General features: G+C 38.3%; 1 protein-coding gene and 2 long non-coding RNA genes across 16 annotated transcripts in view; 2 read left to right on the top strand and 1 right to left on the bottom strand.

Annotated features, from left to right (window-relative positions):
• RASSF8 (Ras association domain family member 8) overlaps positions 1-16,784 on the bottom strand; it is a 121,658-nt gene that overhangs the window by 60,398 nt on the left and 44,476 nt on the right. For 2 of the 14 annotated variants that reach the window (XM_047428189.1, XM_047428188.1), the window contains exon 3: positions 16,042-16,250. The exons of 10 other annotated variants lie outside the window; for them this stretch is intronic. The gene's annotated coding sequence lies outside the window, so the exon portion shown is untranslated. Of the gene's footprint in view, positions 1-7,670; positions 7,774-16,041; positions 16,251-16,784 lie in introns of those variants that run through there. 2 more of the 14 variants (NM_001394100.1, XM_047428191.1) reach the window with 1 other exon arrangement.
• On the top strand, positions 8,104-9,544 carry LOC124902901 (uncharacterized). Its single transcript, XR_007063248.1, has 3 exons — positions 8,104-8,193; positions 8,350-8,475; positions 9,116-9,544. It is a non-coding gene; the product is annotated as an uncharacterized LOC124902901 (long non-coding RNA).
• Positions 13,544-14,770, top strand: LOC107984501 (uncharacterized). The gene is made up of 3 exons (XR_001749051.2): positions 13,544-13,631; positions 13,998-14,119; positions 14,710-14,770. It is a non-coding gene; the product is annotated as an uncharacterized LOC107984501 (long non-coding RNA).

The raw sequence follows: 16,784 nt of genomic DNA, 5'->3' as shown, positions 1-16,784 counted from the left end.
TAAGAAAGTTTAGATTTTGTTGCACCACAGTTATTTTAATGGCTGTAATGTAATGAGACTACATTTTTATTTAATATATAATTTCATGCGTGCAGATGGGTGCTGTACCTATTAAGGCAGGCGATTTGGGAAATATATACTTATTTATTTTTTGCTCCTTCTCAAAATATATTTGAACTCCTCTTTTAGAAATTGCTTCTATATTATTTTTTATAGTCATATGGTCTTTAAAAACAGCATTCCTAAACTCACTCATGAGCAAAACTTACCTCATGTGACATGCTTTTGCTATTACTAAGATTATTTTGAAAGAATATAGCGCAATAGAGTATACTCTGTACTGCTCATAATAGAGACACTCTCCAAGGGACAGCTACGATCACTCCATAATAACCTGAGCCAACTAACTACTCAGTCACCTTTGTGCAATCCATCCCCATGCCACCTATGACCCAAAAGACCTCCTCTAAATGTCTGTTTGATTAAAAGACAGCATACCACACCACTTCACCACTATGGCTGAACCAAGCCAGGTGGAAGTCAATAATCTCACTTAGCCATGATGCATGGGAGGACCAGATTTACCAGAATTTAGTCCAGCTCTTGAGAAAGGCTTACTGGGCAAGTTTGGATGCATCAACTCAAGCAACTCATGAAGCAGTTATTCTAAATAACTTATCTGATTGCCAAGAGGCCAACATCAGACACTGGGTCTGGGGCCGTATCAAATCTGCCAATTTACTTCCTCATTGTAATGACTCCTGTGGTGGGCAGGTAATTATCCCTGGTTTGACCCAGTATTCATCCTCTTTCCTCTGAGAGTGGCATGGGGTACAACAAGAACAACATAGGGTCACCTACACCCCCTTTCTGCTGGTTCTCGCAACTATGTAATTGCTGGTCAGTGATTCCAAGTTGTAAGTGTTGTTTCCTGACAACTTTATCATCCTCTAAGAAATTAAAATCACATTCTATGGTTACTAATGCTGTGATCCACATTTGGTTTTATAAAAATTCCTATTTTTAGTTTAGTTTTTTTAGTACATAAATTTTATCTGTCAATAAAAAAATGTTAAAGTGACATGTTAGAAAATTTTAGTCTAGTTATATAATGTAAAGAATTTTTAAATTTAAAAAATTGATTTATTAAAAAAAGGTTCTAGAGCTATTTCAAAAATAGTTTAAGAATAAAATCTTCATAGGCAGCTCCAAATTTGCTAAATTTGCTACACAAATTTAAATGACTTGCATAGCATTTAAATTTATATTCTAATGGATATAGCTAAGAAACATGATTAAATGAAGCAATCCTTTAAAAAAAGTAAACAAAAACTGGTGTTTATAGTGACACAGAAATTCTCAAAGATTCATCTCAAGAATACAGATATCCTCCAATGAAAAATATTAATAAATGTTAACAAAAGTTAATAAATCAGTATGTCTAACAATCCATATAACTCTTACAGACATTTCAGTAGAAATGAAATCACGTGATCTCACAAACTATCATAGCCAATGGGAAAGGGAAAGGGTTTTTCACCATGAAAGACTTTTCGGGTTGTGTGGGCTGTTAATGATTGCCTCTGTTCCAACTTCAACCTTTTTGCTTGTTTTATGAAAATGGATCTGGACCCTTAAAATACTTTTTCCTAGATAGTCACTCCATGTGAAGTTTTGCCAAGAGAGGGCACTAGTGAGACACAGGAAAGGGCAAGAGGAGCGGCTTTTGCTTTCTGGGGTCCTCCTGTGGCATGGGGGCTTCCCCAGTCTGCAGGTCCTGCAGCAAATGCAGCTTCTCCTGTGACCAGCTCCTACAGTGTACAAGAGCCAGCAGCAACCAGCAGGTTCCCTCAACACTCACCTTGGGTGCGTTTTTGGTAGACTGCCCCTGGCAAGACACCTCCCTAGTAAAGTGGATTACTGGTAAGTTCCATCAACAAGGTGACTTCTCTGCTTTCCAGTGAGCCTGAGCCAGGCCCTCTCCAACATGATATGGATCACAGTCCCAGGGGGCCTCTTCTTTGGGCATTCTATCTCAGCCTTAGTAGTAGTAGCTCTTAAGTTCATATTATATAATATTACATCTGCTAGTCTTACATTCTTGAGAGTCTCTTCACCTCTTATCAATCTCTAACTTCCAATCCCTGGTTATATTTATAGGCTTTTACATTAAACTTTCCCTATTCAAATTATCATGCAGTTTCTCTCTCCTGATTGGACAAAGATTGATATCCAATTCCAGCAAATGAATGTGCAACAGAAAGCACTGTTTTCTAATTCTTCTTTGTGTAACTTAGGATAAATATTCCTACTTATAATTAACAATATTGATATAAAGACAAAAGCAACCAAAAATTTTTTTAAAAAAATATTTCATTTACTTATGGCTAAATAGCTTTTTATTCCCATATGAAAAATCAAAGAAAACCAAGTAAGAATGTTTCCTCATTTAATATTATTCACACATAGGAAAAAAAATTCCAGTGGAAAGTACTAAAAACATGAAGCAAATAAATTTGTGGAAAAAAATACTTGTCTAGTTTGTACACAGCAGATAAATGAAAGAATTAGGTCAATTTTACAAACCACTAGAAATGAAAAGAAAAAGATCTCAACTAATGAATGAACTTCAGATGATATTTTCATTATCTATCCTGTTTTGTTAATGTGAGTAGAAAATCACAAAAATAAACAACTATTCAACAGGATAGATGAAAATCAAGTAACATTAGGCAAGAAAAAGAGGAAGAAGAAAATATTTTCACACCTTATGAAATGGACTGACGTGGATAACTGCCAACAAACTAATTTTATAAGCAACTTAAACTCTGAAGGAAGTCTGTTGATTTTTAGAAATTTTATATTTTATAGTTAGAATTACCTAAAAACAGTTTGCCCACTCAATATAAAATCTGCAATTTATAAAGCTCTTTCGCACAGATTCTTACATGTAGATAACAATATCAACAAAAAGATCACTCCCCTTCCTGTACCCCAGGTTCCAAATTGTGAACTTCCAGAACAGGCAGCAAAAATGTGCATATTAAGGTAACACGGCAAGAAAACATCTGGACATGAGGGCTACAGTTAAAGATTATTGGGAAGATCTTAAAATCTCAGGCCAAAGGAGAAGCTAACTCTTTATTTAAAGGACCACTATAACCAAAGCAAAAACAGCAAAGCAAAAGCACTGGTTATTAGACTTTAAAACCAGGGAGATTCATTTTATATAATCCAGAAGCAAAACAAAAACCAACCAAACAAACAAATAAAAAAAAAAAAAAACCCAAAAACAGCCCTTAATAACTCCAGATTTTTAAAAGTTTAAAACAAACAAAAATGAATGAATTTTCCATGCATTTCAAGGGAAAATCAGCTCTTCCTGCCTCTAGTTAAACAAACTCTTTATAGTTGAAGGTTCTGAGTCTCCAATTTTAGAGATTATGACTGCTCGACAGGCAAAATACAGGTTAAAAATAAAGATAATTAGTGATTTGGTAACAAATTATAAACTCCAACTGGCCACAAGCACTTGAAAGTAACCATTAGTTAGTTAGTGGGGTCTGTGATCATGTGATCACAGAGTTATAGAGAAGTGCCGCCTTGTGTTCTTAAAGTATGCACAGCTTTATTCTTATCAATAAAGAAAAAAGAGAAATTGTACCACTGAACAGGCAAAGCAAACCTGAAAAAAAACATTGCTAATGAGTTATTTTCTTTAATTTCGTTTATTTTTCCAAAGCACATCCAAATCAGCATTTCTTACAACACAATAGGTCCGCTAACTTTAGGTATTGTTTTCTTATTCTAACAACATCACTAAAAAATAAGTAGGTATAATTTCTGTTTCTTTGCAAACTGAGATAAGTAACTTCAAGTATAATCTTACTTAACTTTAAAGACGTACACAAAACATAAGCAGTTTTCCACGGCCTCACACATTAATTTGGATGAGATTTCACCTCAATCTCTTTGCTTGTCAGGTGGCCTATCAACGGAAAAATATTTTGACATAAACTATTTTCTATTTCTCGGCTCTGTGTCTCAGATTTCAGAGGAGAAAACTGAAGAGAGCATTTTCTAGAAACGTAAACGCTAAGCAGCAGGCAGGAACGATAATTGATTACTGTCAGTTTTTTGTGGTCTTTGGCTCAAACATTCCAACCCTGATCTCCATGACAAAGTGCTCCTCAATAATCTTGCAGTAGGTGCAGCATCTTTTACCAAGGGATCAGTAGAGAGCCTAAAATACCTTTTGACCATATATGGATTTTTTTTTTTTTTTGAGACGGGATCTCATTCTGTCACCCAGGCTGGAGTACGATGGCACGATCTCAGCTCACTGAAGCCTCGACTTCCCAGGCTTATGATCCTCCCACCTCTGCTTCCCAAGTAGCTGGGACTACAGGCGCACACAATGATGCCTGGCTAATTTCTATTTTTTTTTTTGGACAGACGGGGTCTCACTATGTTGCCCAGGCTGGTCTCAAACTCCTGGGCTCAAGCGATCCTCCCACCTTGGCCTCCCAAAGTGCTGGGATTACAGGCGTGAGCCACCATGCCCAGCCTGTATGGAATATTTTTTTTTTAATGCTGTTTTCCACTGAAGTATAGTAAGGTCTCAAAGGAAAAAGGACCAAATAAACAAAAGCTATAATCCTAATCTTAACAAGTTTTTATTTCCACAATTACAGCCATATCACAGAGTTTTAAATTCAATTCTCAAAGGATTAGCATTTTTGTTCTATGATTAGAATTTAATGAAAACTTCAAAGTTTCTGCTAATTATATAAAAAGATCTAATTTCATCATGGCAAACTATGAGTATTGTCAAAATTTGTTTCTTATTTCAAATATCTATTTGAAAAATAATTTTCAAATAAATACATACTATGAATCAGTAATCAACCTGAAAAAAAATTTGACATGGAGACTTTTACATGCTATTAAAAATGAAAATGACCTGTATTAAGTGCAACTGTCCAAACCAATCAAGACATACAGAAAAATGCTGTGTGTCTGTTCTTCCTATAAAACACCGCAATAATTTATCGTATTTATTATTTCCCAAAACATATTGGGAGAAAGTTAACACAGACACATTTAGAGCCAAGGATAGCACATACGTTTTATCTTGCCTACTAAGCTTGAGTGTCTGACTGTACATGCCAAGAATGTGATGCTTAAAAGGATGATCAGGCTCAGCATGAACACATACCATGATCAACTAATTATGTCTGCCATGGGCATAGGAAACACATACATATGTTTTCATCGCTAGTATGAACGTTATTAGTTAAAACACATTTGCTGAAGTTTGCTGCTGTAGTGAGTGAGCACCCACTTGGCAAGTCACCGGGCACAAGGCACCAGCTGGCTGTGCCTATACCTGCTGTACAAAGGCACTGGCAGCTCAGGCAGGGCACAAGAACACAATTTCACAAAGCAACAAAGGTCCACACTCTCATATTCCTCAAACCAATACCACAGGTCTGAGTTTTGTCCACAAAATATAAAAATGTGCCATTTACTCAGATGGGGTTTAGAAAAATAATGGTTACAAAATAGAACTATTTCATTCTTCCCAGGACCACTCACCTACCTGCCAAGTATAGAATAAAAACTGGTAATTACACTACGAAGAATTTCAGAGTCTTAATTTAGACCTATTCAACAATAGCCACATTAAAGGAAAAAGGATTTTTTTATCAACATGAAACTTAATAACAAAGTATACATATATTAGAAAAACATCTTTAAAAATTTAAAGCTAGTTAGAAAATGCTTATGATATATAACCAGTTTGAATAAACAACATAGGTAAAAGTAAACTTGGTCCTTTTATTATTAAAAAAAAAAAGTGAAGTTTTCAACAGCAAACAAGTTGTACAATATTATTGGAATTATAACTCCATGATTATGATTTCTAATGAAGAGGCCTGGCTACTACTCCAGGTGTTATTACTATGATTTTACCAGGCCTGAGTGAATTTGATGGAAAATAGTAAAACTAGAAGGACACAGGATTTAAAGAATCAGCGGACTTGAGTTCACAGCACCATATAATCCTGAACTCCCTTAAGCTCATGGAGGCTCATTTCTTCATCTATAAGGATATCTCTATGGGTTTGCTATAAGCAATTAAAATATACTCACTACTTAAAAGTGTCTTATGAATTTTAAAGTACTGTCCCACCAGGTGGCTATCACTAGAGAAGCCACATTTTCTTATGGTTTTACTGGATTACTAGACTTGAATTACTAGAAATGAGAAAGAGCTGGCAAGGCAGTCTTGCAGACACACCACACAGCGAGAATACAGGCCTTTTTATTGTTATTGGGCAGGACTGCCAATAACAAAGGATCCTGTGGAAAACATGCTGCTGATTACATGAAAACCTGATCAGTTTTTAGCTCCGGGAGATATACTCTCCTTTATTTTGATTCTATAAATTTGAATGTAGGAACAGAGCAAGAAGACAGAGCAAACTGGCACAGCTCTTAAAACTCACGTGAGGCCAGGTGCAGTGGCTCATGCCTGTAGTCCCAGCATTTTGGGAGGATGAGGCAGAAGGATTGCTTCAGCCCAGCAGTTCGAGACCAGCCTGGGCAACAAAGTGAGACTCCGTCTTTACAAAAAAATTTAAAAATTACGTGGGCATGGTGGCCTGTGGTCCCAACTACATGGAAGGCTGAGACAGGAGGACTGATGGAGCCCAGGAGTTCAAGGCTCCAGTGAGCTATGTTCATACCACTGCACTCTAGCCTGGGCAACAGAGTGAGACCCTATCTCAAAAAAAAAAAAAAAAGAAAAAAGGCCTCACATGGAAGGAACATCACGCCCAGAAAAAACAAATCTGGATACTAATCATAGGCCCACATATTTTAAAAATTCAACTCACATAATTAACAATGATATAAATAATATATGGATATAGTTATGTTTAGGTGTCATGAGTGATACACTGGTATGAGACTGGATGAGGAGATGATGTCTATTCCTCCTTTTTCAGAAACACAGGAAGCTGTTTATAGCCACTGAAAAAAGGCTAAATAATGACAGTTCACACAATCAATACTCAAATATTCATTGCCAGTTACACTGCTATTTGAGGAAAAAGAGGAGATTTGGTTTTCTCACTTTTTAAATATTAAATGCCTGAGAGCTTTTGTTATATCTGTTAAATTCTTACTATATATGCCGGGAGATGTTCTAAGTGCTTTGAATGTGTCAATTTATTTAAGTCTCATAATAATCTTGTAAGGTAGGTATTATTGTTTCTGCTTTTCAGAAGAGGAACTCAGCACAGAGCAGTTATAAAACTTGCCCAAGATCACACACTTCATTAGAGGAAAAGCCGAGACTTCAATTCAGGCATTCTGGAACCAGAACTTTAACTAATATACTCTACTGCCTAATAAGATAAAGAAAAACAATACACATTGTACCTAATTGTTTCAAAAAACATTCACTACAGGCCTACTATATGCCATGGATATGTTATTATATGTTATACATATATCACAGATATGATACGCATAAAATAACAAAGCTTTAAAGACACTAGATTTAAACTGAAGTTCATGAGTCACTGTGTTAGTCCATTTGGGCTAATATAATAAATACCATAAACTGGGTGGCTTATGAACAACACAAATTTTCTTCTCACTTTTCTGGAAGCTGGAAAGTCCAAGGTCAAGTCACCGTCAGACTCAGCGTCGGGTGAGAGCCTGCTTTCTGGTTCGCTGATAGTGATGGTGCCTTCTAGCTGTGTCCTCCCATGGCGGAGGGGGCAAGACAGCTCTCCAGGGCCTTTTATGAAGGCACTAATCCCATTTATGATGGCCCTACTTTCATGACTCCCCATGACCTAATCACCACCCAAAGGTCACAGCTCCTAACGGTGATTAGGTTTCAACATTTGAATTCGGGGGGAATGGGGGAGATACACAAACATTCAAACCACAGCACTCAATTAATTAATTATGTCAAGTTATCATAGTTACTTGACTCAGGTGTTTTTGGGACTGCAGGCAGGGAGGAAGCAAGGCTTAGAAGAGTCATCTACCACTCTCAAAAATAATACTGCTCGTCAGGAAGAGGAAAGTTCTTCTGGGAAGCATCTGGCTAATCTTTTTGGAAAGGTTCTGAGGAAATTCTTAAAGAGGACCTATTATGCAATCCTGGCTACAGTCAGTACCTACTATTTTCAATGGGGATTTCTTTCCATGGACACATGACTGACTCAGTTCTTAGGCAGAACTGGGGCTAACACAAACCAAAATAGCAGCAGGCCTCATCCCAAAGAAACTGCAATATAAACTTATGCCTTGAGAATTATTTTCCAGATGCTGTAGACGTTCCTGTAAGGGTTCCTGTGGTTTCTAATGTACAAAGATGGACAATTCCTCAGATGGCCTCAGGAGAATGCTTTTAGATCTGCACTGGGCAGAACCCTGGGATTAATTAACAAGGTGAGTGATATCTATCACTTTTGGATTCCAAGGAAGGAAAGATAAAGTGGTATGAGGGCCCTTACAACACTTAAAAACGACAAGGGTACTTAGGTGGAGAGGAGCTGTTTTTTTTTCTGGTCTTTGTGACCAGGATTGACCCTCTTTTATCTCCTTTCTATCCCCCAGGTCCCCCTCGCCTGCATCTTAGGTATACAGAAGTCTCTCACGTTGTCCCTCAGTTGTGCAAAGGCCCAGAATCAATCATTCCCCGCCCTCTCCTATCACCAACAATAGAATTGTTCAGCCCAGAAGCATTCCTTTCCCTCCTCACCACATCCTCCTCCTATTCCTTAAAGTGACTGAAGTCAACTAAATATAAAGGGGGAAAGGAAATATCAGATTAAACTAAAGCACATTCAATTAATCTCCAGCTGGTAATATGAGAAGAGATAATTAAGGAAAGAGCTTTCCCACTGTTTCCCTTAAACCACAGTGCCCTCCCCAGGGCCGGGGTAATCAGGAGGGGCAGGTTAGGCAGCTGGGGCACAAATATATGGGAGTTCCGTTCTCATGTGCTGGCACTGGGCCTGCATGACCCTGGGCAATGCCTCCTTCTACTTCGTGCCCTCCTGCATGACTCACTTGCTTTATTCTACAGGCTCTGTGCCATCTTGGTAAAGATGGTCCCCCAGGGGACAAGAAGGAAAAACTTCAGCTGCTCTCAAGTCATTGCCTACGGAGAAAAAGCCATTGGTTCTACCTTCCCTTCTAATTTCTAATTTCTAATTTAATTTCGACTTAAAACTCAAACCCTTTGCTGGTGCCTGACTAACTCTCCTAAATGAAAGAGGAACAAATGTTGGACAGTAAGGAAGCCTTCTGGTCCCAAGGCCTCAGAATGGATTAGGCATTGGTTAGCCATTCCTGGGCCATGGCACGTGGGGGGCCTGGAGACCAGTACTACTGCAGGGGCAGGACCCTGTGGGCATCAGGATGCCACCCCCTCACCCTCACTCCAGGACCACCACTCTCTCCATCAGTTTTTCTTTTCAATCAAAGAATAAATGGCTATTTTACCCATCTTAAACACAACAGCCTTCTTCTGATCTCTCTCCTCCCACTGATTACTTTCCTTTTGCAGCAAAACTCCTTTCAAGAATTGTCTACACTTGCTTTCATTTTCTCACTTTCCATTCTCTATCAAGCTCATTCCTGCCATGCTTTTGCCCCTACCATCTAACCAAACTACTCTTATCGAGGTCACCAATCACCTTCACCTTGCTAAATATAAGGGTCAGTTTGTCACTCCTTCCTCCTGATCTACTTTCTTCACTCTCTTCCAGGACACAGCACTTTCTTGGTTTTCCTCTTGCTTTACTGGGGTTCCTTCTCAGTCTGCTCTGCTCTAGGAATTTTTAATATTTGAGTATCCCAGGTCTCAATCATTAGTCCTCTCCTCCTCTCTATTTCTATCCACTCCCTTGGGGATCTCATCCAGTCTCATGACTTGGAAATACCAACGTGGGTCATTTGGAAGTTGTTATGTGGGACAGTCCTGTGCACTACAGGATGCCCAGCATCTCCGCCACCACCCATCCACTAAATGCCAGTAACAGCCTTCCCATCATTGTGACAACCAAAAATTCCCTCACCAATTTCCCAAACACCCCTGATGGCAGAATCACTCCTGCCTAGAAACACTACTTAGAAATAAGGTCTGTGCTCCTGTAGGTATAGCTTTATTCTATAGTTTGATCAGTAGAAGTGTTAACAACATATTGAAAAGCACAAAATTCCATCATGAGTGTGGAATTAAAATTTATTCAAGAACATCCTCATATATCCATTGGTTCTCAGCCCAGATAGTCCCTTATCCTAACACGTCGGTGAGCTTGGATTTCTTGTGAGAAAAGGATGGTGTTATGATAGCTGGCAGCTAAGCATCATATAACTTGAAACTTGGGAATGCTGCTACAGAAATCCATTTTGTGGTACACAGGGGACTACCAGTGTGCAAGAAAAAACACTGGACTGATCTGGAAGTCAAAAGATCTGGGTTGTAATTCAGGCTCTGTGAATATACAGATATATCTGCTCATTTGGCAGAGCTTTATCTACTGGCTATGCACCAGGACCACCAAGATGAATAAAAGAGTGACCTGACCTAGAAGGGAAGGCTAGAGGGAGCATATCAGTCTCTGTGTCTTGATTTCGTCAACCTCAAATCTGAATCTCCAAAGTACCTTCCAAGTAAAAAAGAAAATTAAGATTCTATGCAGATGCTTGCAATATGCCTAAACAGAAGCAGACACTATGGTACTAGAGAGCTGAGGTCAAGCCACCCATATGACATTATTTTATGTTCAAATGAGAACACAAATATTACTATAAGAAATTACTCTGTTATTAATGTAAAAATCACTATATTTCTACTTCTTAACATAAGAAAGATTTAGAGTATACACTCAAATGATCCTTGGAGCAAAATGGAATACAAATGACAATATCAGCCTGTGTTTCTGAAAGCATTATTTGTTGTACCAAAAATATTGTGATCTTTAATCACTGTATCCCTTACATAATTCCCACTCCAGTAAGGCAAATTTGCAAAGAATTTACACAGTAAAATTGTCTAGTAGCTATAGCAGCTCACAGGAGAACATGCTAAAGGGGATGGAACAACATTACATCAACTGGCTGGAAACAGTATAGCTTCTAATATTATCTATCTATATCTAACATTTAAGTGATAATTTTTTTTTTTTAAACGGAGTCTCGCTGTGTTGCCCAGGCTGGAATTCAGTGGCTTTCTCGGCTCACTGCAAGCTCCGCCTCCCGGGTTCACATCATTCTCTTGCCTTAGCCTCCAGAGTAGCTGGGACTACAGGCGCCCGCCACCACACCTGACTAATTTTGTGTATTTTTAGTACAGACAGGGTTTCACCATGTTAGCCAGGATGGTCTCGGTCTCCTGACCTTGAGATCTGCCCGCCTCGGCCTCCCAAAGTGCTGGGATTACAGGCGTGAGCCACCGCACCTGATGTGAGAACATTTTAAAGTAATATCCTTTTGAAGAATGAGGATGCATTAAATATTTAATGTCTTGAGATGATAAAGAAATGATCAGGAATAAAAAATGTAATTTTTCTACTTACACAGATGTGAGGTTTAGGTTATTCCAAATTGTTACTACTTCTGCTTATCCTCCAACTAGAACTTTATGTACTTATGTAAATAATTTTGATCCTTTCAATTACCATATGGCCCAATGCCACTAAAAGGCTGTTTCTGTTAAACTAGAGTAAGAATGCTGCTTTTAAGTCAGCCATCCCCTGCCCACACTCGGCTGTACTTGCTTTTCCCAAAAACACTATGCCCCTGTTCCTTTCTGGGCTTTGCAGAGGCTACTTCCTGTGAGAGTAGGCCTCTCTAAAGACCCACTCACCTTTACAAACTCAGCTACACTGACATCAAACAAGAAGCCCTCCTTCACCTCTGCACAGTTGAAGGAGCTCCTTCTGTGCTCCCAGGCACCTTCTTCATTCTGCTCTTGCAGTATATACAACATGACTATTACCACTTACTACCTACCTGTCCTTCCAGTAGATGCTGTAAGCCTCAAGTCTAGGTAATGCCAGGTCTGAGAGACAGATTTGCTAGTGAGGAGAACAACTATGAAAGACAATGGTGAAAAGGCTTTGTTCCTTTTACAAAAGATTCAAACTTTGACACCTATAACTTCCTCCAGTCTGGTGTTATGTTGAAATTTGATCCCCAGTGTGGCAGTGGGGACGTGGGGCCTAGTGGGAGGTGTCAGGGTCATGGGGGCGGATTCTTCATAAATAGGTTAATGCCCTCCCCTGATGGTGAGTGAGTTCTCACTATGAGCTCTGCCAGAGCTGGTTGCTGAAAAGAGCCTGGCACCTCCTCCCTCCGGCCAACCCCTCACTTGCCACCCCTAAAGCACTTCCTCTCTCCCCATGTGATCTCTGCACACGCTGGCTCCCCTTCACTTTCCACCATGAGTGGAAGCAGCCTGAGGCCCTCACCAGATGCCCAATCTTGAACTTTTTGAGACATCAGAATTGTAAGCCAAATAAACCTTTTTTCTTTACAAATTACCTAGTCTCAGGTATTCCTCTATAGCAACCCAAAATGAACTAAGTATTGTTAAACTCGATTTTAGTGAGTAAGAACTAAAGCTAAGAAAGATGAATGTGACCTCGTTTCATCCCATGTTCCACTATTCCAACACTGTCCCACTCAATGGACAAGGGCCCTTGTTCTCTGAGCACGCACCATGAGTCAGAAACGAAGCGTGTATCTAGAGTGACTATGGGTCCTGGTTTACCTGGAACAGCAATGGTTTAAACTGTTATTCTGGTGTAATTATCAATAGTGCCCTAGTTCCCTCTCCAAAGTGTCTGGTTTAAACAACTACCCCTAAGTATAAAAGACTGAAAGTCCACTTGTATAAACATATATGTAGTCCACGTCTAGAGCGAGACAAGCATTTGGGAAAAACAGTACTATTTTAATAAAAAGGATGACAGTTATCATTCACTGAATTGCTTACATGCTAAGTCCTTTACATATATAATTTAGTCTTCAAACATCCACTAAAGCAGATATCATTATATCCAATATTCAAGTAAGGAGACTGGAGGTTTTAGAGACCTAAAAGAGATCTTAGAGAAACCAAGTACTCAAGGGCATACAATTAATTAACATGAGAAGCTGACTTGCACCCAGATTAATCACTCTAGATGATATATGGCAATTTCTGAAACTACAGAACACAGACACAGTTCCTTGGGACATCCTGAAGGGAAGGGAAGAAGAAAAGGATAGAGATAAGGATGAAGCCAGAGACCAGGAAGAAATCAAGGCTGCCCTTCCTACAATATGAGTATCTTTTTTCTAACTCCTGGGTCTTTGGTAGGTCTACTAAGCAGGGTGTGTGTGTGTGTGTGTCTGTGCACATATGCACCCATATTTGTCTTTTAACAGAAACCAACGGAAGAGAAAGGTTTAACGTTTAAAGCTTTAAAGGGCAAAACCGAAGACTACACATTGAAGTAGATGACAAAGACAGATGAAAAACCATTCAACTGATACAGAACTCTGGACTTAGGAAGATCACAGGGAAACTGTCACAAGTATTGAAATTGGAGGTTCAAGACAAGTTTTTCTAAAATTTCTAAGGAGCAAGTATAGCCTAGCTGAAATCTGGGAGAAAGTAAAAGAAAGTAGGGGAGAAACAGACAGGGCATTAGCTGATATAATATGGTATTATGTGGCAATAAAAGCTGTATTTTTCCCATCTGATATGAACCTTAACATGGTGAGACTATATGTTCCTCAAAGGCAGAAACGATGGGTTTCATCCTATTCTAGTATTATAACTTTCACAAAGCTCACTTTAGATAAAAGAAATAGCCTTTGCAAAATTATCTTAGTAGAGCTTAAAAACAACAACCAAAAAAAAGATTTTATATTCTAACCTTGTCTTATTTTTACATTTTCTCTACTGCATTCAGGTTAATATAGGCACGGTCTCAATATTCACGTATTAAAACTAGGTCACAGAGAATGACTTGATTAAGATGACAGTCACCGGTGCAATGAGGAGTAGAATCAGTTGCAGTTTCACACCTGTCAGGTAATTACATACTGACCCCATTTTTACAAACTCAGCCAAATGAAAGAATGCAAACCAATAATAAATGGTCACCAAACTCTCACCAATTCAACCTGCAAACTATTATCCTATCTGCCTTTAAGATTAATCTGGCAATTAAACAAATCAATCTGTAAAACAAAACAAAACAAAAACCTAGTGTAAAACACACACACACACACACACACACCCCATCCGTAAAAATTTAAAAAGACACAAATACACGTTATATGTACACATTTCTTTTTCTGCAGAGAAACCCAAGAAACTGCTAATGAGGATTACCTTTGGATAGAGGAAAAACAATGAGAAAGAATGAAACCTTATTTTTCATTTCATAACTTCCATTTTTTTTTAACTTTTTGTAAAGACAGGGTCTCCCTTTGTTGCCCAGACTGGCCTCAAACCCATGGCCTCAGGTGACCCTTCTGCTCTGGCCTCCCAAAGTGCTGGGATTATAAGCATGAACCACCTCATTTTATACCTTTCACTTATTGTATTACTTTTTTTCAATGAACAATTTAAATGTACAATGACTAATAATTTCATTTTGCTAAAAACCTATTTTCCAGAATTTCAGAAAAGTAGAAGGTACCAGTCATGTCATGTCAGAAGAGCTCCCCTTCCTCCTCCTCCTCTTCCTCAGCCTACTCAACATGAAGACCTTTCTGATGATCCACTTCCACTTACTGTATAGTAAATATATTTTCTCTTCCTTAAGATTTTCTTAATAACACTGTCTTTTCTCTTACTTCATTGTACAAATACAGTATATAATACATATAACATACAAAATATGTGTTAATTGACAGTGTATGTTATTGGTAAGCCTTCTGGTCAACAATAGGCTATTAGTAGTTAAGTTCTGGGGTAGTCAAGAGTTATATGCAGAGTTCTGACTCCACAAGAGGCTGGCACTCCCTAACCCCCATGTTGTGTGCAAGGTCAACTGTAGACTAAGACAGGAACACACTGCTCTTTCTCATTCCCAAAGATGCTGAGCCCCACACCTCCAGGAAGCATGATACTGACAATGTAGGCATAAATCTCAGTCAAATCATTCATTAATAACAGCTCAGGAGTTCAGTATATTCATCCCTGCCTAGAGACTGTGATATGCCCCTTGTTATTCAATTCTGTGTATAGTCCAGTCTCAAGAAGTTTTGTTTTTTATGTTTGAGACAGGGTCTCAGTCTGTCACCCAGTCTTGAGTGCAGTGGCACAATCACAACTCACTGCAGCCTTGACCTCCCAGGCTCAAACAATCCTTTCACCTCAGCCTCCCCAGTAGCTGGGACTATAGGCATATGTCACAACACCTGTCTAATTTTTGTATTTTTTGTAGAGATAGGGTTTCACCATGTTGCCCTGTCTGGTCTCAAACTCCTGGGTTCAAGTGATCCTCCCACCTCAGCCTCCTAAAGTGCTAGGATTACATGCATGAGCCACCGCACCTGGCCCCTTGATACATTTATCCTTATGGAAAATGTATTTTTTACTATAAATACATATATGTATTTTTAAAGGCATATAATGAAATCATAGACATCAGGTCAACCTTAGATTTTTTTAAAAATATAATCTATATATAAAATTTCTGATTATTAATACTTGCTTTACATAATCTGTGTTTTAAATGAACACAGTAATTATTTTCCTATAGTTCTACCACTTGGAGAAAAATCATCATTAACACTTTAGTATGTTTCCTTCTAGGTTTTTATTCCCCCTATACAGTTATTTTTTGAAGGTTATAATATATTATGTCCTGATATTGTCACTTTTCAGGTTATCATTTTTCCATTTCATTAAAGAGTTAAAAAAAATCTATAGATAAGCAGATAAACTCTTTTATTGGCTGCATAATAGTCTGCCTTCTAGTTGCACTGTATGAGCATTCTTACCTTACTTCTCCCACTGCCAGAATTGGGAATTACAGAGACAAAGGTCTGCAATATTCATGATGAACACAGATGCAAAAATCTTCAACAAAACACGAGCCCACTGAACTCAACAGCACATCAAAAAGATAATCCATTATGATCAAATGGGTTTTATATCAGGCATGCAAGGATGGTTCAACATATGCAAATCAATAAATGTGATACATCACCTAAACAAAATCAAGGATAAAAACCATATGATCATCTCAATAGACACAGAAACAGCATTTGATAAAATTCAACATCCCTTCATGATAAAAACACTCAACAAACTAGGCACAGAAGGAACATACCATACATGAGGAAAGGACACCCTCTTCAATATATGGTGCTGGGAAATTAATTAGCTGAATGTAGATGAATGAAACTGGATCCATGTCACCATATATAAAAATTAACTCTAGATGAATGAGTTACATTTATGTATAGGTTATTTATATGTGTGTCATGTATATGTTTTTGAATCTTCAATAATACAATGTGCTAAAATAATAAACATCATGTACTATAAACCCACAGCTAACATCATACTAAATGAGGAAAATTGAAAGCATTTCCTCCAAAAACTGGAACAAGACAAGGATGCCTACTTTCACCACTCCGATTCAACACAGCACTGGAGGTCCTAGCCAGAGAAATAAGGCAAGAGAAAGAAATAAAAGACATCCAAGAGATCAAGCATGATCTCTGCTCACTGCAACCTC

The sequence above is a fragment of the Homo sapiens genome, chromosome 12 (genome assembly GCF_000001405.40).
Source record: "Homo sapiens chromosome 12, GRCh38.p14 Primary Assembly".
In the NCBI taxonomy this organism is placed as follows: domain Eukaryota; kingdom Metazoa; phylum Chordata; class Mammalia; order Primates; family Hominidae; genus Homo; species Homo sapiens.
This window is presented reverse-complemented; position numbering and strand designations above follow the sequence as displayed.